We start from the raw sequence: 23,151 nt of genomic DNA on the forward strand, positions 1-23,151 counted from the left end.
CCAATGCTCAGCACCTGCCGATCAGGCATCATTTGAAATAACAGAGATGCCTTCTGTTATATAGGAAAAGCTGACATCTTTCAGGGCAAAGGATTTACACTGGAGGCTCCCTTCTTAGGTGAAGAAATGCAGAGGAACTTAGGGAAAGCTGTGTTGCTGAGTTCTGGAGCCCACTAGGGAAGAGTCTTCTACAGTAAAGCTTTGACTCTAGGCTGCTGGTGCTGCAGTGGGGGAGCCCAGAGGAGCTCCCAGTTTTGACAGATTTATTCCCAAAGATGTGCTTGCCCACTGACTGAGCCTTTGTTGTCTTACTCCTGCTCAAGCTCCTTTCCCTTGAGTTCCAGCCTTCCTTTATGAAGCAACACTAAGGTTACCCCGAATATAACATCCTACAGATCGGATAATGAGAATGGCCACAGAGCAGCAGGGATTTGGGCTTTTATTTCCCCCCCAAGCAAGAGCCACAGTGCACTTGCTGGAGAGTAGAATAGTTCCACAGAGATGTGTTTGCCTGCTGTTCACAGTAAAGTTCCTGATGTCTTTACCCCAGAACTTGTGTAATTTTTATTTATTTATCACATAGTTTCTTTATTTATAGCTCTAAGTAGATTTATTTCATCTTGGATATAGTTCACTGTAGTGAACACCTCTTACGGCACATGCTTGATTTGGGGGTCTGATATGGTTTGGATCCGTCTCCCCACCCAAATCTCATGTTCAATTGTAATCCCCAGTGTTGGAGGTGGGGCCTGGTGATTGGATCATGGGGGTAGATCCTTCATGAATGGTTTAGCACCATCCCTTTGGTGGTGGTCTCATGATAGAGTTCTCACGAGATCTGGTCGTTTAAAAGTGTGTAGCACCACCATCCACCGACTCCCGTTCCTCTTGCTGTGGGCCATGTGAAGTGCTGCTCCCCCTTTGCCTTCAGCCATGACTGTAAGTCTCCTGAGGCCTCCCCAGAGGCCGAGCAGATACCAACATCATGCTTCCTGTACAGCCTGCGGAACCATGGCTGATGAAACCTCTTTTCTTTATAAACTACCCAGTCTTAGGTGTTTCTTTATAGCAATGTGAGAACGGACTAATACAGGGTCTTTTTTGTTTTGTTTTGGTTTAAAAATGCACATTGAGATTTCCACCTACATCCTCCCATCTATCTTTCTGCCAATCCAAATTCTTTATTTTCTGACCCTGCATCTATTCAATACATATTTATTGAGTACCTACTATGTCCTAGACACCACTTAAGTGCCAAGTATCCAGCAGAAAACAAAATAGAGAAATCAAAGGCAAAAGCTTTTCCCTCTGTTGTGGCCATTTGCAGATGGCTGATGGACTCCCAGTCAAATTTGGATTTGGATATAGAGACTAATGATAACATACACACAGCAGGAAGGTATGAAAAATTTGTTATTCACATAAAGAGACTTTCTGGGAACAGTGGGGAGGCACCCAAGCAGGTCCAAAAATGACATGAAAGAACCAGGAATGGGGACTGGCTCAGGTTTGGTTTCTTCTGGTAGAGCGTGGGTGGAGCTGGGATACTGATCCCCACGCTTGTGCAGGGGCTTGTGTGATTTGAAGCTCTCATCAGCACCACAGGAGGGAGCACCCAAGCTTTCTTATCATCTTGCCTAGACATGGAGCAGAAGGAGAAGAGGGAGGGATGGTCAGCAATAAAATGTCAAAAATGGCTTACATTCTTTTTTTTTGAGATGGAGTCTTGCTCTGTTGCCCAGGCTGGAGTGCAGTAGCACAATCTCGGCTCACTGCAAGCTCCGCCTCCCGGGTTCACGGCATTCTCCTGCCTCAGCCTCCGGAGTAGCTGGGACTACAGGCGCACGCCACCACGCCCGGCTAATTTTTTGTATTTTCAGTAGAGATGGGGTTTCACCGTGTTAGCCAGGATGGTCTCGATCTCCTGACCTCGTGATCCGCCCGCCTCGGCCTCCTGAAGTGCTGGGATTATAGGCGTGAGCCACCGTGCCCGGCCGCTTACATTCTTTAAACGTTTTTATTAGTTGTAGTATAACACATGCACAGTAAGTAACAAATCTTAGGCATACAGCTTATGAGTTTTTAGACCCATGTCAACATAATCCTGGAAAGATACAGAATGATTCCAGCAGGCATATCGTTTGCTTGTGTCCTCCCATCCAGTCAATTCTTGCCACTCCAAGAAATAAGCGCTATTCTGACTTCTATCATCAAAGATTAATTTTTCCTGTTCTTGCAATTTTTATAAATGGAATCATAGCATGTATGTCTGCAGTGGTGCCTTTGTATTAAGTCAGGTGAACACATGTATTTACATGGATCTGGGACTGCGCTTTCTATTCTGTTGTATCCTGGCACCAATCTGACACTGTCTTAATCACTAAAGCTTTATAGGAATTTCCATATTTGATAATGAAAATCCTCTAACTCCAACTTTGTTGTTCTTCAACACTGATTTTCCATATCCTTTGCATTTCAACACAAACATTTTAGAATAAGCTCCTCAATTACACACACACACACATGCATGCACACATGCATACCCTCTCTGATGGGCCTTTTTTCGGAATTGCATTACATCTAAAGACCAATACAGACAGAATTGACACCATCCAATTCATATTGAGAATTTAAATCAATGTGAAATATTTTCTCATTTATGTCTTTTAAAATTTCTAACAACACTGTTTTTCAGTTTTCATTCTAGAGCTTTCACCTCTACAACTGGATTTATTCCTACCTATTTGATGTTTTTAAATACTGTTGTAAATGATACTTCAAAATTTTATTTTCCAATTACTTGAAGCCAATGTATAGACACGATTGATTTTTGCTACTGACCTTGAGTCTTGCAGCCTTGATAAATCTATTTAACAATAATAGCTTGTATAACTTTTGGAATTTTTGATGTGCACAGTCATATCGTACATGAATGTAGCAATATGTCTTCTAACTAATCTTTATACTTCTATTTTTCTTGTTTTACAGTGTTGCTAAAAACCTGTACAGTGTCAAAAGATGTGGTCATGTGCATACCCTTTTCTTTGTTTCTAACCTCAGGGGGAGATTCTTCTATATTCTACCAATAAGTGTCTTTTATTGGCTACAGATTTTTTATAGCTATTCTTTAATAGATGAAATACTTTTCTTTCTATTCTTATTTGCTGAAAGCTTTTTTCCTTAATCAGGAACAGGTGGTGAATTTTATCAAAGGCTTTTTCTGCCTCTGTTAGGACAGTAGTGTTTGGCTCCTTTATTCTGTTAAGGTGGTGATTTATGTTGATTCATTTTCAAATACTAATGTACCCTTACATGTCCGTGATGAACTCACTATATCATGATGTATTATACTTTTAAATATTGCTGTAGTCAATCTGCTTATGTTTTGTTTAGAATGTTTATGCCTGTGTTTATGAGAGATAATTTCCTATAATTTCCTATAATTTTCCTTGCTTGTAATGTCTTTGTCAAATTCTGTTATCAGGGTTTCTCTGACCACAAAAACTAGTTGGAAAGAATTCTTTTTTTTTTTTTTAGAGGTCGTATTCAATTCTTATTATTTCTTCCTTAAATATTTTGATTCATGTTCTTTATTACCAGAAAACCCTTGTGCATTTCCATGTTGTAAGAGATACCTCTGTTTATCCTGTCTCCAACTCATCACTCAGAAATTGTGTTATTATTGCTGATGAGATGCTTCAATACAGCTGCTTTAGGATATGTGTGACATCTTCTTTGAGTTTGGAACTGATAATTAGTTTTTGATGATAATCATCGTTCACATTTATTTAAAGCCTGTTACTAGGCGTTTTCTGACTTCTTTTCCTTCTACAAATACAAGAGCAGATTTGAGACAATTGATAACTCAATTTTACTTTCTTGAAATTTAAACGTTGAGAAAGTGTTATTTAATTCAGGCTTGGAAGTTGCAAGCCCCACAATGGTCTAGATCCATCCCAATTAACGAATTCATAAATTAATGGAAGGAAGAGAGAAATGAAGGGAAGGTGAGAGGAGGAAGGGGAGGGGAAAGGAAAAGTAGGAGGGGTGGAAAGAAAAAGAGTAAAGTGAGTGAGAGGGAAGAAAAGGAAGAGCCTAAGGGTGAGGGAGGGTGGGAAGAAGGAAATAAGGTGGGCTTAGTATGGCAGTACGTTCTTTGGGCGTTACAAGAAAATTAAGCTAGATATTGTTTCTAAGGAATCTTTAGCTGAGAAGAGATAAATGATGAGAACATAAAATCCTGCATATTTTCAGAGCTAGCAGGGAGTTAGGAGCTGCCTGGTCTACCACTCATTTGCAATTGAGGAGACAGAGGTTCAGGTAAGAGAATGCACCCGCCTCACGTCATGCTCTTCTTGGTCATTGGCAGAGCAGGGTCTAATACCACCATTTTGTAATTCTTATCAGGAAATAACAGGAGGGCATTTCAAGAGCAAACCAGCCAATGTGAGGAATTCAGAGAAACCCTCCAAAGGTCAGACCCTCCTGCCCTTTGGACTGTCCTTCCCTTTGTAGAGTGAAACAGGATATCAGAGGGTTTGGGGAAGGAAGTGCTAGCCTCTCTCAGTGGGACATAGGCAAGACTAGCGCCATGTGACTGGATCTGACCCTCTGTGTTGACATGTGTGTGGTCTGCCTTCCTGTGGCCTCTGCTGCAAGACAGGCCGGAATATTTGTATGTCCATTCTATCTCGAGGCATGTAGGAGGCAGGAGGCCTGGTTACCAGACCAGATGACAGGAAGCAGAGTCCTAAGACCAAAGGGAAATGTGAGCCCAATCCTTCAGGTTGGTCACCCACACTGATTGACAAGTCCTGCTTCTGACTCTAAAATGGGAAATAGCTCATGCCCCTGCAAAGGTTACATATTGGTAGGCATCATCATGAATGATGAAAAGATAAGCAGCAAGCATTTTATTTTGTTTTTACTGTACACTAATAATGATGGTGTGAAATCAAAACCTAGGAGACTCGGAGACATTTATTAGTCTACGTTGCAGGAAAATGCCAATGTTATGAGCATTAAAAAAAGATCTGTATGCCAATATATTAGGATTAAGTTCTAGAGGGAAGTAGAATCGAAATATGAGTTTAAGAAGGTAAATCAATGATAACATTTCTATTAAAAAAAAGAGATTGTTCATGCATTTTTAAAATAGACGGTGATGGGGCCTAAATCACTATGGTATTAAATCATCAAATTGATTTTTAAAAGGGATCTCGTGGTTTTACTAGAAAATTTCAATATTTGCAACATGCTGGAAAAGGCATTGTTACTACTTAAACACATAATGACAAATTTTAAAGGTCAAGTTAAATTTATGAAGTCTTTTTGCCTACAGGCCCTCTAGCAGAATTTTGAAAGAGTTTTGAACACTAGCCTAGACAAAATTGGGACTCCGAAGGGAAGTAATAAGTGAGGAAATGATGCTGGTGTTCCCCCGGTTGTTCACCACATCTCTCTAAGAGGCTCATGATCCATTACTGAAGAAGATCTCTCATTGCTTGATCTGTGTCCAAACCAAATCTCATGTCGAATTGTAATCCCTAATGGTGGTGGTGGGGCCTGGTGGGAAGTGATTGGATCATGGGGGTGAATTTCTCAAGAGTGGTTTAGCACCGTTCCCTTGGTACTGTGATTCCTTTGTGATTGCAAGTGAGTTCTCCTGAGATCTGGTCCTTTAAAAGTGTGTGCCACCTCCCCATTCTCTCTCTCTTTTGGTACTGCTCTTGCCACGTGAGATGCCTCGTTTCCCATTTGCCTTCCCCCATGATTGGAAACTTCCTGAGGCCTCCCCAGAAGCAGATGCTGCCATGCTTCCTGTACAGCCTGCAGAACTGTGTGCCAATTAAACAATTTTTTCTTTATAAATTACCCAGTCTCAGATATTTCTTTATAGCAATGCAATAATGCACAAATGCTCCGCACTGCTCCTGCCCAGTGGAGTTTTTGGTTCTGTGTCTGGATTCAATGTATTCACCTAACTCAAGTTGAATGTAGTGTGTGTTCCAAAAAAGATCTTTAAAGATTTTCTGGTCCAATGTACTTCACAGTTCTGAGAGAAGAGAATGCTTATGTAGAAATGTCAAGATGTAATATTGTTGTTCAGTTAAAATGTATAAGAGAGAAAGAAAATCTTGTATGCATTTGAGGTTGTGAGTGTTTGTGCATAAAAATATTTGAAAAGCCACCATATCACCTCTAGTTTTCTCTGATTGATTTTTATTTACTTTTTTCTTATTAAATTTTTCTTATTAACCTACTGTAAAGTTAACTTAACTTGGTGTATATTTTATGAATGTTAACCCATGTATACATGCATCTAACTACCACCACAGTCAAGATACAGAACAATTCTATCATCCCTACAATTCCCTCCTGCTGCCCATTTGTGGACATACCCCTCCTCCAACCCTGACCCCTTGTAACCACTTCGCGTTCTCTGTCTTTATAGTTTTGCTTTCTCCAAAATATCGTATAAGTAGAGTTATAAAGCATGTCACCTTTTGAGACTGGCTTTGTTCACTCAGCAGAGTGCCTTGAATATTCATCCTTGTCATTGTATTTATATTGTTTGTTTTCATTGCTGCATAATATTAATTGTATGGATGTACCAGAGTTTGTTTATCTGTTCACCCACTGAAGGACATTTTGGTTCTTTCCAGGTTTGGGCAATTGTGAATATCACTGCTGTAAACATTCATGCACAGGTTTTTATGTGAACATAAGTTTTCATTTCTCTGTGGAAGACAAATAGGAACAGGATTCCTAGTTCATATGGTAAGTGTATACTTTACTTAATAAGCCACTGCCAAATGGCATTTAAGAGTGGCTGTGCAATTTTTGGTAGAGCAATGTATGAGAGTTCCAGTTGTTCAATATCATCTCCAGCACTTGGTATTGTCCATATTTTGCTTTTGTTTTTTAGTTTTAAAAAAATTAACCTCTTCAAAGGTGATTTTAATGAGGTTTTAATTTGCATTTTCCTAATGGGTAATGATGTTGAACATCTCTTCATTGCTGATTTACCATCAGTATGTCTCCTTCAGTGAAGTGTCTATTAGTCAAATCCTCTACTCCTTTTAAAATCTGGGTTGTATGTTTTCTTATTGTTGAGTTATAAGAGTTCTTTATACATTGTGCATGTAAATCTTTTTGCCTAAGATGTGATTTGAAAATATTTTCTTACTGTATGTGGCTTGTCTCTTTATTTTTCCTAGCAGTGTCTTTCAAAGAGCAGAAATTTTCAATTCTGATGAAGTCTGACATCAATTTTATCTTTTATAGATTGTGTTTTTGGTGCTGTATGTAACAAACTTTCTGCCTAACTCAAAGTCATGAACATTTTCTTCTGTTTTCTTCTAAAGGTTTTCTAATTTTAAATTAAGACCTATGATCCATATTGATTTTCTTTTTGTGTAAGATGTAAATTATAATTCAAGATTCACTTTTGGCATATAGATGTTCAGTTGTTCTGACACTGTATGTTAAAAGGCCATCCTTTCTTCACTGAATTGTCTTTGCTTCTTTGTCAAAATCACTTCACCACATCTGTGTGGGTGACTGTCTATTCCATCCCATTTGATGTATGTGTCTATTCTTTTACTGAGGATCACACTGTCTTGATTGCTGTGGCTTTATAGTAAGTATTTAAATCAGATAGTGTTAGTCCTCCAAATTTTATTCTTCCTCAAGATTGTTTGTATCCATTTTAATTCCTTTTCCTTTACATATAAATAATGAGTCAGCTTGTCTGTATCTACACAAAATTCTGTTTGGATTCTAACTGGAATTGTACACATTTATACATATGTTTAGGAAGTATTGACTTCTTAATTATTTTAGATATTCCAATTCATAAATTTGATATGTACGTGTATTTACTCAGGTCTTTGATTTCTTTTGTTACAATTTTATAGTTTTCAGAACATAGACTTTGCATAAATTTTGTTAGATTTATGCTTAAGTATTTCATTTTTGGAACTATTGAAATTTCATAAAATTTTTGTTAAATTATTTTATTGAAATCTTAAATCAAGTTTCCAATTGTTGGTTGCTAATAAACAGAAATATACTCGCTTTTAAAAAATTGATCTTTCTTGGCTTCATTGCTGGGCTCATTTATTAGTTTCAGGAGCTTTTAGGTAGTTTTCTTGGGATTTCTGTACACAGACAGAAGATAACATAATTTGTACATAGGAACACGTTAATTTATTCTTTCTGAATCTGTATGTCTTTCCTTTTTCTTAACTTATAACAATGGCTAGGACTTCCAATATGCTGTTGAATAGGTGTGGTGAGAGTGGGCATCCTTGCCTTGCTACCAGTCATAGGAGGAAAAACATTCAGTCTTTCACCATTAGGTATGATGTCAGCTGGAAGTTTTCACAGATGCTTTTTATGAGAGCAAGGAAGTTTTCTTCTAAATTTGCTGAGAGTTTTTATGATGAGCGAATGTTGAATTTTTTTTTAATATGTTTTATTTGTCTAGTGGTCACCCAAGAATGATCATGTGGTTTTGCTTTGTTAGTCTGTTAATATGGTGAATTACATAATTTGATTTGCAAATTTTAAGTGAGACTTGCATTTTTGAGATAAACCCAGTATTTGTAGTCATAATACATTTTTTAATATACAGCAATGCTTGAGGTGATAGATACCCCGCTTACCCCGATGTGATTATTATGCATTGAATCCCTGTATCAAAATATCTCATAAACCTATAAATATACACACTTACTATGTAGCATTACAAACATTAAAATAAAAAATTAAAAAATAATAAATAAATTGTTCATGTTTTGTTGGAGACTCTCGCATATGTGTTCATGAGTTATATTGGTCTCTAACTTTCTTTTTTGTACTATATTTGTGTAGCTTTGGTATCAGGGTAGTGTGGCCTCATAAAATGAGTTAGGAAGTAATCCTTACTCTTTTATTTCTTGTTAAGATATTGTGTAGAAAAATATTCATGCTTCCTTGCATGTCTGGTATAATTTACCACTGGTACCATATGAGTCTGGTGTTTTGTTTTTTAATTGTTTTAACTATGAATTCAATTTATCAAATAACTATAAACTATTCGGATTATCTTTTTTGTTCCTTGAGTGAATTTTCGTAGTTTCTGGCTTTAAGAAATGGTCCATTTCATGTAAGTTTTCAAATGTATGTGCACAGAGTTGTTTTAATATTTTCTTGTTTTCTTCTAATGTCTGTGATGTCTGTACTGATAACACACTTTCATACCCAACACTGATAATTTGTGTCTTCACTGTTTTATTTGTCAATGTGCCCAGAGGTTTATTAACTTTTATTGATTTTTTTAAAAAGCAGCTTTTGATTTTATTTTACTTTTCTGTTTTCTAGTTCATTGATTTCTACTCTTATCTGTATTATTTTTCCTTCTATTTGCTTTCCTATTTTATTCTTCTTTCTTAAGGTAGAAGCTTTTAGTAACTTAAGATCTTTCTTCTTTTCCATTATGAACATTTAATACTGTAGACTATTTTACAAACACTGTTTTACTTACCACAAATTTTGATACACTGTATTTTTATTTTCATTCAGTTCAGACTATGTTACATTTCACTTGATACTTTCTCTTTGAACAATAGATGTTAAGTAGTGTGTTGTTTAATTTGGATATTTTGGATTTTACAGAAACTTTTTTTTTTTTTTTTTTTTTTGATGGAGTCTCCCTCTTGTTGCCCAGGCTGGAGTGCAGTGGTGCAACCTTGACTCATTGCAACCTCAGCCTCCCAGGTTCAAGCAGTTCTCTGCCTCAGCCTCCCAAGTAGCTGGAATTACAGGCGCCCATGACTACACCTGGCTAATTTTTCATATTTTTAGTAGAGACAGGGTTTCACTATCTTGGCCAGGCTGGTCCTGAACTCCTGGCCTCATGATCCACCTGCCTCTGCCTCCCAAAGTGCTGGGATTACAGGCGTGAGCCACCACGCCCAGCCTCCAGAACTTTTTTGTTACTGATTTCTAATTTAATTCCATTATGATCAGAAAATGTACTTTGTAAGATTTCAATTGTTTTAAGTATGTTAAGGTTTGTTTTATGACCCAGTATGTGATCTATCTTGGTGAACATTTGATGTGCACTTGAAAAGAATATGCATTCTGCTGTTGGTGAACATATTATAGAATAAATATTAATTATGTCCAGTTGATTGGTAGTGTTAAGTTTTTCTATGTTCTTGCTGATTCTTTCTCTCTCTCCCTCTCTCCCCACTTCCCCCTCTCTCCCCCCTTCCCCCTCTCTCCCCCACTGCCCTTCTCTCCCCCACTCCCCCTCTCTCCCCCCACCCCCTCTTTCTCTTCCTCTCTCTCTCCCTCTCTCTCTCCCTTTGTCGCCAGTCTGGAGTGCAGTGGGGGGATCTCGGCTCACTGCAATCTCTGCCTGCCGGGTTCAAGTGATTCTCCTGCCTCAGCCCCTGAGTAGCTGGGACTACAGGCGTGCACCACCATGCCTGGCTAATTTTTTGTATTATCATTATTTTTTTTAGTAGAGACGGGTTTCACCATGTTGGCCAGGATAGTCTCGATCTCCTGACCTTGTGATCCACCCGCCTTGGCCCCCCAAAGTGCTGGGATTACAGGCATGAGCCACCATGCCTGGCTGCTGATTTTCTACTTGTTCTATTGTTTAGTGTGAGAGGAACGTTGAAGTCTCCAACTATATTTGTGGGTTTGTCCATTTTTCCTTTCATTTGTCAGTTTTTGGTCTACATATTTTGAAATTTTGTTTTTAGGTGCATACATATTTAAGATTGTTATGTCTTCTTGATTAATTGACTCGTTTATCCTTTTGTAATTTCTCTCTTTACCTCCAGTAATTTTTTCCTGCTTTGAAGTCTGCTTTGTCAGGTACTAATACAACTACATCAGCTCTTGAATACTTATTGCTTGCTTTTACCACCTTTTTATATGTAACATATGTCTTTATATTAAAAGTGGGTTTATGGAGACAGCACAGAATTAGAGCTAGAGTTCAACAATTTGTCTTTTGCATTGGAGACTTGGAAGGGTGAGAGAGGGGTGAAGAATGAGAAATTACTTACAGGTACAGTGTAGACTATTCAGATGATGGCTGCACTAGAAGCCCGGACTTCACCACTAGGCAGTATACCCATGCCACAAACCTGTGTGTGTGTCCCCTAAAATCTATTTTTAAAAATAAAAAAGAGATTAAAAAATCGGTCTTTTAATCTGTGTGTTTAGGTCATTTCATTTAATAACCATTATGTTTGCATTTAAGTCTACCATTTAAAGTTTGTTTTCTGTTTATCCTTTCTGTTATTTGTTCCTCTGTTTCCCCTTTTTGCCTTCTTTTTGGATTATTTAAATACTTTATTATTCCATTTTTCATGTATCTATTGGGGTTTTGACTATGCTGTTTGTATAGCTTTATGTTTTCCTTTATATATTTTTTACTTGTATTGTTTTATTTTTTTCCAATGAATATGCATTATTTGGACAATGAAGAAAGGCAAACCACAAAAGACAAAAAGAGAAAGAAGGACCTCCAGAGTGGGAGAATAACTCCTCGCCTGTCAGGTAGGTTACACTCACTGTGTGCATCCCTGATATAAAATGGTGAAACATTTGCATAACCCATCCTCCCATGTACTTTACATCATCTCTAGATTTACTTATAATAGCTAACATAATGTAAATGCTATGTAAAATAGTTGTTATACTGTATTGTTTAGAAAATAATGACCAGAAAAAAATTCTGTACATGTTCAATATAGAAGCAACCATTCTTTTTTTTTTTTTTTTCAAATATTTCTGATCTGTGGTTGTTTGAATGCACAAATGTGTGTAACCCACTCCTATGGAGAGCTGACTGTACTTGCTTTTCCAGACTCCTTCGCATGGAGGGCATGGACATGTGACCTAGATAAAGATGGCCTCAATGTTGAATTCGGGGCTAGTGGTGTGATGTAGTTGGTATTGCCCAGAATCCAATTTGTTGACAGGTAGTGACAGTGGCAGCCACTGCTCCTGGTTTCTAGATGTAGGATGGATTCCAGTTCTGGGATCAACATCCAGCATCCTATCACTGCTGTTGGCTGTACAAGCTTTGGTGACAGCCTGGCAGTGGTGATGACTGCCATCACAAAAATCATTCTGATGTGTGATTTGGGGCATTGTTAATATATGCCCGATTCATTATCACTTGTTCTGGAAATTCTGTGAGGTACTCATATTCTTTCCTTCTTTCTTTTTTACTCTTTAATGATACCTTTTAATGATGAAATAAAAGCTTACCCTCCTCACAATGCTGAATAGGAGGAAGTTTCCAATACAAATTCACTTGCCTTGCAGTTTTTAATTTTTTAAGTGGCAAATTAAAATTGTATACATTTGTGCTGTACAGCATGACGCTTTTATATGTGTGTACATTGTGAAATGGTGAATTCAACCTAACCAATGTATCAATTACCTCACATACTTTTTATTTGCGGTGAGAAAACTTAAATCTCCTCTCTTAGCAATTTTTAAATATATAATACATTGTTATTATTAGTAATTATATAGTCACCATATTGTACAATAGATCTCTGGAGCTTATTCCTCCAAACTAAAATTGTGTGTTCTTTGACCAGCATCTTCCAAGTCTCACCTCTCCCCTCAGCCCAGAGCTACCATTTTACTCTCTGTCCCTATGAGTTCAACTTTTTTAGATTCCACATATAAGTGAGATAATAAGGTATTTGTCTTTCTGTACCTGGCTTATTTCATTTATCCCATAGTTTTTCAAGGGATTTATTTCTACTTAAATCATCCAAACTCAGTTTCCAATTCTCGCAAGTAAGGAAGCTCACTAATACAAAATAGACCAGATTTGTAAGGGAAATTAACTGGGCAATTGTGCATTTACTATGCACCTAATAGTGTGCTAAGCATTTTATTTGCATTATCTTGGTGAATCTTCCCATTCATACTATGAGATAGATACTACCCTATTTGTTTTACAAAGAAGATAACCAAAGGGCAAAGAAATTAATTATTGTGCCCAAGGTCATGACTTCATTGGGACCTGGACTGGACCTGATAAATACTGCTTTAATATTTAATAGTTGCATACAGTGGGCCTCTAGGACCATTTCCCAAAGCCTGTCTTTGGGTATAGTGTGAATAGAGTTGATTTGCCTGATCCTTAGCGTTCTTGGGGATACGTCTTTGCCACCTCTAAAATCAGCCTTGAGTTGAGAGCATGAGAGACAGAAGGCTATGGGTAACCTTAAGTCACTGCAGTGGCTAAAGGTGGCTCTGCACTCAGAAGTCAACTAGAGCACTAGAAGCCAACTATAACAACCTGGAAAGAGAAAACACGAACATGCAGCAAAGATACCCTTCTCAAAATAAAACAAATACAGTTGTTTTCTTCTTAAACATCAAAGCCTCTTATCAAAGAGGAAGTTCACACCTTCTCATGAGGTTAGAACAAATGTGATGGCATAAAATAAACCACATTTATAAATGCTATGGGCCAGGCACAGTGGTTCATGCCTATAAACCCAGCACTTTGGGAGGCCGAGGTGGGCAGATCACTTGAGGTCAGGAGTCTAAGACCAGCCTGGCCAACATGGTGAAACCCTGCTGCTACTAAAAATACAAAATTAACTGGTTGTGGTGGTGCATGCCTGTAGTCCAAGCTATTCGGGAAGCTGAGGCAGGAGAATCGCTTAAACCTAGGAGGCAGAGGCTGCAGTGAGCTGAGATCGCATCATTGCACTCCAGCCTGGGTGACAGAGTGAGACTCCTTCTCCAATCAATCAATCAATCAATCAATCAATGCATGCATGCATGCATACTATGAACACTAAGGCAGAGATTGCTTTGTGTCCACCACAGGCTATTCTGTTCCTTCTGTATACACCACTAGAGTTCCATCACTCCATCTCAGGTAAGAGGCACCATGAAATTGAGTGTTGATCCATGAGACTTCTAAGTGCATCTGATGCCATTCCACACTCTCTTTCCTCTGAAAAGAGAAACTCCAAAGATCCAGAGGAGGTGGAGCCACAGTTAGAGGGAGTCCGCATCCCTAATCTGTCACACAAAAGAAAGTTACTCAGGAGAACTCCCGAACAAGGAATATTCATGATGGACTATTGTATAAATGAGAAAATAAAGTGTTATTGTGTTAAGTCACTGAAATTAGGTAGTTGCTTGTTACAGTAGTTAGCTTGCCTTACCTGATACAAATGCCTAGTGTCCAAAGTGTTGTTTTACGGGGGTAGCTCCCTTTTCTTAACTCTAAAGATGCCTTATCCTGAAAAGCGAAGTTTAAAACAAATTTAAATACCAAAGGAACTCTTGTTTTTGGAAGCCTTACTCCATAAAATATAAAAAATATTAAAATACGCCATCATTCTATATGAAATATAATTTTTATACAGTAAAGTTTACAGTAGTCCCTTCCATCTGAGGTTTCACTTTTCATGGTTTTAGCTCTCCACAGTCAACTGCAGTCCAAATATATTAAATGTAAACTCCAGAAATGAACAACTCATAAATTTTAAAATATATGTTGTTCTGAGTAGCGTGAGGAAATCTCATGCCTGAGACATGACATCTCCCTTTGTCCAGCATATCTGTGCTGTATACACTACCCATATATGGGGCAGCCATAGCCAACTGTTTTAGTCCATTTTCTGTTGCTATAACAGAAGACCATAGCCTAGGCAGTTTATAAAGAATAGAGATTTATTTAGGTCATAGTTCTGGAGTCTGGGAAGTCCAAGAGCATGGCACTGACCTTCTTGCTGCATCATAACATGGTGGAGGGCATCACATAGAGTAAGAGTGTGGTAGCTCAGATCTCTCTTCCTTTTCTGATAAAGCCACTAGTTCTGTCGTGGAGACTCCACCTTGATCACCTTATCCAATCCCAATTACCTCCCCAAAAGTACTACATCCAAATTCCATCCACATATAAATTTGGGGATTTATTTTCTAATACAAAAAAATTGTGGGACACCTGCTCATATCTTGGACAGCCACCTGTTGATGGCATCAACAGTCACTATTGATTATAGTGGGAAACTAACAAGGCAATACAAAAATCCTCTGGGGTGAGAAGATGAAGGAAATTTGTGAGCTGACTGTTTAATCTTAGGCTGTCTCTCCTTAACTTCCTCCTCCCTTGGCACCCTAGGCAAGGGTGTTAAAGTTGAAGAAGACACATACTGCTTGTCTCTGAGTTGAAAAATGAATCTATGATCAGAGGAATTGATTAATATAGAGGCAGCAAACGGAAAGGGCCCACATGAGTCTCCAGTGGTTGAGGCTCTCTATCTTCCTTCTCCTTTACTTTGTAGACTAGGCCTGAATTTCAGCCCTTCCCTTCTACACATTATTGGACACAGTAGTTGTTATTGAGGGGACATGAGCTCTCAAGCTGAAAAACTGATATCCATGAAGCATAGTCACTTAAAAAAAATAGAAAATGGAATGGCATATATCAACCAAAGCAGAATCGTTAGAATTGATGATGCTCCACAGCCTGTCTCTGGGGCAAGTGCTCTTAACAGCTGTGTGTACTGCCCAGAGTCTGTCTACTGTACCCTGCAGATGCCAACTTTATGCCTGGATGCCTAGGTGCAGCTGAACCTAGATATCCCACCTCTGCCCCCCACTCACTAACTGATACCCCAAAATTTTGTCTTAGATTCACTACCTTTTGTTTTGTTTTGTTTTGTTTTGTTTTGTTTTGTTTGAGATGGAGTCTCACTCTGTCACCAGGCTGGAGTGCAGTGGTGAAAACTTGGCTCACTGCAACCTCCACCTCCCTGGTTCAAGCGATTCTCCTGCCTCAGCCTCCCAAGTAACTGGGACTACAGGTGCATGCCACCACGCCTACTTAACTTTTGTATTTTTAGTAGAGACGGGGTTTCACCATGTTAGCCAGGATGGTCTCCATCTCTTAATCTCATGATCTGCCAGCCTCAGCCTCCCAAAGTGCTGAGATTACAGGTGTGAACCACTGCACCCGGCCGATTCACTACCTTTTATGGTGACTCTGCCCAGACTGATATATTTTAATAAAATGTTTCTTGTCCCCTGCATAGATGTGATGTCACTGTCAGTTGACATCCATCCAGGGGACAAGAAACATTTTATATAAGCCTGATCAAAGAAATTTTATAACAGCCTGGGCAGGTTCTCTTCACCTGCCCTGCCTTGAGGAGGAGTCTTGCCCCTGGAGGGCAAGGCTACTCTCTTCCTACTTCCTCCTATGCTATGGCTGGCCTTGTTACCCCTCCTTGCCCTCCAATCAATCCCCTAGTCTTGAGAGACAACAGTCTTGTCTGCCAAGGACATGAGCTTCTTTTAAATCGGGTCAATGCCAGCTGAGATAAAAGCTGTTTTACACTAAATAAATCTGAAGCCACACAGTGTCATGGTAAATAAAGAGAATTTCTCTTGCCTACCATGAAAACAGCCTCCACAGATGCTAAGAACGAGCATCACCCTATATATACTTCTCACAACAAAAGATCAGCGAACCCAAGCTGAGGATCGAGATTTCCCCTTTACTTTTCTTATCTGTTTTATGTGGTAGCTCTTGATTCAGAGGCTAGCCTGGTGGGTGAGCATAGAATATGGGGATACCTGATCAGCCTGGGCCAAGGGTCACTAAAAGACTGGTGAATGTGTGACAAAGTGCTGGGGGCTGCTATCAATGGGCAAGTGGATGACAGAAGAGGGTTACGTCAGGAGAGCCACACTCAGCTGTCCGGGCAGGCAGGAGTGTAAGGGGGGGTAGGGCAGCTGCACTTGCTCTGAGGGCCTTTTTAAAACCTTGCCCTGCTGAGAAACTTAGTTCCTGATTCCTCCTCAGCTGTAGGCTCTCAAAATGGGAATTCACTCTCTGAGGGCCTCTTTGCTGTCTGCAGAACTTAAACGGAGTTCATCTCATCAAATAATGTTTCCTGAATCGCTGAGATCTTTCACATGAAGAGTGGGTCGCTGTGATGAGAAAAGATGTTTAAAGGAGTCGTGGAGGAAATCAGCTGGTATGTACAGTGATAAATGACGAGGGTGAGTGCTGGGAACTCTGTAAAGCTTGTCACAAATTAATCCTTGGAGCTGGCACAGGATTAATGACATTTCCAGAGAGCATAACTTGAAGTTGATTGGGCATCTCACATCCTTTGAAAGTAAGCTCTTCTCTTAAAACATTAAAAAATAAAATAGAGAGGATCTGACCAAGTGAGAGCTGCAAAAATGGTCTGGCTGCTGACACACCCATCTAGCATCACTCAGGATGAGCAATGTGTCTATTCGAAGTGTTTTTGAGACACAGTGAGATGGCCAAACCGGTAGCTGACAAACTGGATAAGCATGTGATTCTCCCTCTTGAGAGGGATGACATACATTTGAGTACATGTAAGACTTGTTTATTAAAATATTGAGCTGGCAGGGCTGCTGAAATTACTTAAACAGAAGATTCACTAAGCTATGGAGCAGCCAGTTCACCTCCCAACCCACCACCCCTTCGGCTACCAGAACCCTCTGCTGTGGGCCACCAGGCAGGCCAGGCTCTGGGGCTGCCCAGTTGTCATGAGAAATCCTGACACATGCAGTCTATGGCTATTTCCAACCATGGTCTTCTTTCTTTGCTAAAGAGTGATAAAAGAGGTAGCCAGGACCATTTCAAGGGCAGATGCAGATTTTGTTGCTCCTGGGGCTAGGTAAACAAGAACAACAGTATCACCACTTACTACTCAGAATAACACTCCCAATGCCATGAGCCAGAATCAAATGTCAGTATTCACTTGCCCAATTGAGCATTTTCATGATGACAGCCTTTTATCATTCTTGTGAAGATTTTAATGTAGCCAATTTTAAAAGAGCGTTTTTTAAAAAAAGTTTTCATTTTGAAATAATGTTAGGTTTACAAAAAAAAGTTGTAAAGAGAACACAGAGAGTTCCCGTATACCCATCACCCAGATTTTCCTAAGGTAAACTTTTATATGACTGTAGTTCACTTGTCAAAACTAAGAGATAAATATTGTTACATTACTATTAGGGAAGCTCCAGACTATTTAGATTTCAGTTATTTTTCCACTATTTTTTGTTTGTTTCAGGACCCCATCCAGTACACCACATTGTCTTTATGTTGTATATTTTCATAATCTCTGGACTGTATCAGGTTCCCAGTCTCCCCTTGTTATTTTATGACTGACTTTGTCATTTTTGAAGAGTAATGTCAGATATTTTATAGGATGCCCCTCAATTTGGGTTTCTTGGATGTTTTCCTTATATATAAACTGGGATTATGAATTTGGAGAAGAATATCACAGAGATGAAGTGCCTTCTTGTCACAACCTATCAGGGGATACACGCTAACAACACGACTTAACCACTGAGGGTAGTAAATATGCTTACTTAGTTAAGTTGGTGTCTGCCAACTTACTATTTTCCTATTTCCATATCCTGTTTTATAGAAGTGTCACTAAGTCCAGTCCATATTCAAGGTTGGAAGGGAATTAAACTTTATTTTCTGAATACAGGAATATCTACCTATATTATTGTCAATTTTGTAAAGAAGATATATGTCTTCCTCTGTTACAAAAATATGTAATATACATACACATATTAGTATGTGTATTTATTTTATACTTTGAGTTATGATCCAATGCTATGCTAGTTATTTTGTTGCTCAAATTGTTCCAGCGTTAGCCATTAGAATCTCTTTCAGGTTGATGCCTGTGTCCTTTTGACAGCACCCCATCCTTTTGTTTTTTGGGGGCACTTCCTTGCCTTCTGGTATTATACCATGTTCCAAGATCATACTGTATTTTGTCTTCCCTAGTTGTAGAATCAGTCTTTTCTCCAAGGAACCCTGGTTTCTTTTATTGGAGAATGATATTAGAAACCAAGACCTGGGCACGAGTATGCTTATGGCTATTGGGATGCCATTTCTTCTAGGCCTTCACAAGAACAGAGCTAAGAAGACTCATGCATGTATTCTAACGTATGTATACATAATATCTATACTTGTTTCTGTGTCTATCTGTATCCCTATGTCTGTTTCTACCAAGCTACATGTGAGTTGATACTGATGTCTAACTAATCAAGTAAGGTTCATTCTCACATTTCCCCCTTGCTGGTTTGTAACATCATTCTCTGAAAGAAACCTGGTTTGGAAGATGAAAGATTCTGATATTCTCTTATTTTTGTTTGTGTATGGAATAATTGGATCCTTTTCCATCTATCTGAGCATTCAGGCTTATCCAAGATAAAGCTGTCAATGGTTTATCCAAAAGTGCTGACCCCATAAGAAAAGTATAATCTGTATACATATTGATGACTAGAGATACTAATGGAGTCCAATGTGCCCTCTGACACGTCATAGGAAATTTTATATTCTGTTCAATGTTATCTGCAACACTATTTTCTTATTTCCAAATTCCCTGCAAATGAGTAAACTCTCAAAGGAGTGTGCAAATTTCATTCCAGCGTGGTAGGAGGCACGTATTAATATTGATTGAGCCTCTAAATATTTGAAAACAGTTTTATGGATATCCAGTAAACCATGCATATTTAAAGTGTAGAACTGAATAAATGTTTACATACATATACCTCTGTGAAACTATAACCACAATCAACATTGTAGTTGAGTTCACACATTAATTAAGCCAAGATAAGCTCTTCCATTCTATAAATGGGGTCCCACTGGGTAATGTGCCTATCTCTCTCTTTGAGAGACACAAGCCACTGGTTTCTGTCACCTCTGTCCAGACACAGCTGTTTTCTGGCTACTTATGGGAGCTTCCTGGTATTCTCTAGAGGAAATATGTTTCATATCACAGTCAGATTGAAGCTTCAGAATAGCGAAGAAAATTGACTCTTAGATGAGGAAGCACTAAAACAGAAAAAGAAATTTAAGAATTAGAGCTTCTGGGAGGAGAAGGACACAACAGGCAGTACGGATTCCATTCTTCAGTTTTTTAAGTGAATTCATATCTAGCCCAATATCTGTAGTTAAGAACTTATAATTTTAAAAGTAGATAAAAAGTATATTTCATTAACTCAGTCCCTGAATATTTGGGATTTATGAAACAGATGTGGAGTTTTAAAGCCATGTCTCCTTAGCTAAGATGCCACACATAGCCATTTTCTTCTTTGTTAGCCTATAAACCTATCAAGGTCAAAAATGGTAACAGTGTTTCATTCTCTAATATGCCAAAATAATGGATTGATCTTGGGAAATTATACAATTCTTCTAAGTTTTGATTCCTTCATTCCTAAAATGAGGACATTAATACCTGGCTAACATGGACTTTGTGGGCAGTGAATTAAATTACATGTGTAAGATTCAGCACTACATAAACATGAAGTAGTATAATATCAGTTGAAGGTAGACTACAATTAAAGAAACATACTATCAACCTAAAACAACCACTAAAATGACAACAAAAACTTACAGCTGATAAGTCAATAAAGGAATTTAAAAGGAACCATAAAAAATATTTAATTTTTTTTCTTTTTTTTTTTTTTTTTGTTTTGAGACGGAGTCTCCCTCTTTCGCCCAGGCTGGAGTGCAGTGGCGCTATCTGGGCTCACTTCAAGCTCCGCCTCCCGGGTTCATGCCATTCTCCTGCCTCAGGCTCCCAAGTAGCTGGGACTACAGGCGCCCGCCACCGCGCCCGGCTAATTTTTTGTATTTTTAGTAGAGACGGTGTTTCACTGTGTTAGCCAGGATGGTCTCGATCTCCTGACCTCGTGATCCGCCTGCCTCGGCCTCCCAAAGTGCTGGGATTACAGGCGTGAGCCACCGCGCCCGGCCTAATTAATTAAAAAGGAGACAGAAAAAGAGAAAGGGGGAAACAAAGAACAAAAGGGCAAATATAGGAAACAAAACAGTCAGATGATAGATTTAAACCTGACTACAACGATAATCACATTAAATGTAAATACTCAAAATGCCATGTTTAAAAGGTAGATTGTCAGACTGGATTTTTAAAATATCAAGGCTCAACTATAATCTGCCTATATGAAACACATTTCAAATATAGATACGCAAATAGCTAATATGGCATAGTAAAAAGGTGAGAGATAATATATACCATGCAAACACTAATCAAAAGAAAGCTGGCTTATCAGTATTAATATCAGACAAGGTAGATTTTACAGCAAATATTATCAGGAATAAATAAGGTCATTTCATAATGATAAAGAGATTGGTTCATCAGGAGTACATAATCATTATAAATATTAATGCAACTATCAAAACACATAAAACAAAAACTGATAGAACTGTAAGATAAAGTAGACAAATTTACAGTTTTAGTTGGCATAATTCAATATAAGAATGTGGGGTTTAATATATCTTTTTCATAATGAGTAGAATAAGTAGACAAAATCAGGAAAGATGTAAAGTATTTGAAAAACACTATCAATTAACTAACTTGACTTCATTGATGTTTATAGAATTTTCTAACCAACAACAGCAGAAGAGCAGAATACACATTCTTCTGAAGTAAACATATAACATTTATCAGGATCAATCACACTCTGGATTACACAAAAAAGTCTAAAAAATTAAGTATTTAAGTCACCCAAAACATCTTCTGAACACAATGGAATTAGAGATCAGTAACAGAAAAAATTCTTGGAAAAAAATATTCAAATAGGCAGAAATAAAAAAGTGTACTTTGAAAAACACATAGGCAGAAAAAGAAAGCAAAAGGGAAGTTAAAACCAAACACCGCATATTCTCACTCATAGGTGGGAATTGAACAATGAGATCACATGGACACAGAAAGGGGAATATCACACTCTGCAGACTGTGGTGGGGAGGGGGGAGGGGGGAGGGATAGCATTGGGAGATATACCTAATGCGAGATGACGAGTTAGTGGGTGCAGCGCACCAGCATGGCACATGTATACATATGTAACTAACCTGCACAATGTGCACATGTACCCTAAAACTTAAAGTATAATTAAAAATAATAATAATAATAATAATAATAATAATAATAAATAAAAAAATTTAAAAAAAAGTATTTTGTGCTGAGGGAAAATAAAATACAACATATAAAAATTTGTGGAATACTGCTAAGACAGTCCTTATGGGGAAATTTACAGCATTAAATGACTATACTAGAAAAGAAGAAACATCTCCAATTAATGGCTTCAGATTTCCCCTTTAAAAATTATTTAAAAGGACTGTAAAGTATGCAGAAAAAAGGAAATATTAATGATTGGACCAGAAAACAATTAAAATCAATGCCAAAAAAATAGACAAAATGATTTACAGGTTCAAGGTCATCCTAATCATAATTCCAACAGATTTTTTTTGTAAACATTGATGAGCTGATCCTAAAATTCATATGTAAATTCAAAGGCCTTAAGATCGCAAAAAACTCTGAAAAGAACAAAGTAGAGAACTAACATTAACCTAATTTCAAGATTTAATGTAAAGATACAGTAATCAAGACAGTATGGTATTGGTATAAAAATAGACAAATATATTATCAATCTCATTTTTCACAGATTCTGTATTTACAAATTGGCCTACCTGCTAAAATTTACAAGGGACCATGAGGACGTTTTTGAGATAAAAGGTATTTTTATTATGTTGATTGTGGTTACAGTTTCATGGAGGTATATGTATGTCAAAACTTCAGTAAGAGTGGTTTCTATGTGAAGAGACATCCAGGACCACTGCTTTTATGAAAGAGTTTAACCATTTAACAATGGGAGGAAGTCTAACCAGTTGTTATTATTAACTTGGGGTTCTTAGAACCCCTAGAGGTCCATGGATGTGCTATAGGAGATTTGCAGGGAGATAAACAAGCAGTACATGGGCATACATACATTTTTAGGGATGAAAGTCCATGATTTTCATCAGATTCTTAAGGGGGGCTGTAGGTCAAGAGAGCTTAAGAACTTTTACATAAATAAGCAATCTCTAATTATATAGGGAAAATATTCAAAATTTCTCAAGGTAACAAGATTTAGTCATTTAGTATAATTCAGGCACTGTTTCTAACATAGCCATTTGGGACACTAAAATGGCTGAATACGGACTTGGACTTGACTGATAAGGGTTTTTATATTAACCAGATTTATATAAGCCAGTGAAATAGAAAAAAATTGATTAATTAGAATATTTAA

The 23,151-nt window shown here is 38.0% G+C and overlaps 1 long non-coding RNA gene across 1 annotated transcript; it reads left to right on the plus strand.

The window, feature by feature from the left end:
- Nucleotides 1-6,690: 6,690 nt before the first annotated feature.
- Nucleotides 6,691-17,020, plus strand: LOC105378484 (uncharacterized). Its single transcript, XR_946319.2, has 3 exons — nt 6,691-6,780; nt 11,494-11,565; nt 16,920-17,020. It is a non-coding gene; the product is annotated as an uncharacterized LOC105378484 (long non-coding RNA).
- The last annotated feature ends 6,131 nt before the right edge of the window (nt 17,021-23,151 follow it).

The sequence above is a fragment of the Homo sapiens genome, chromosome 10 (genome assembly GCF_000001405.40).
Source record: "Homo sapiens chromosome 10, GRCh38.p14 Primary Assembly".
Taxonomy (NCBI): Eukaryota; Metazoa; Chordata; class Mammalia; order Primates; family Hominidae; genus Homo; species Homo sapiens.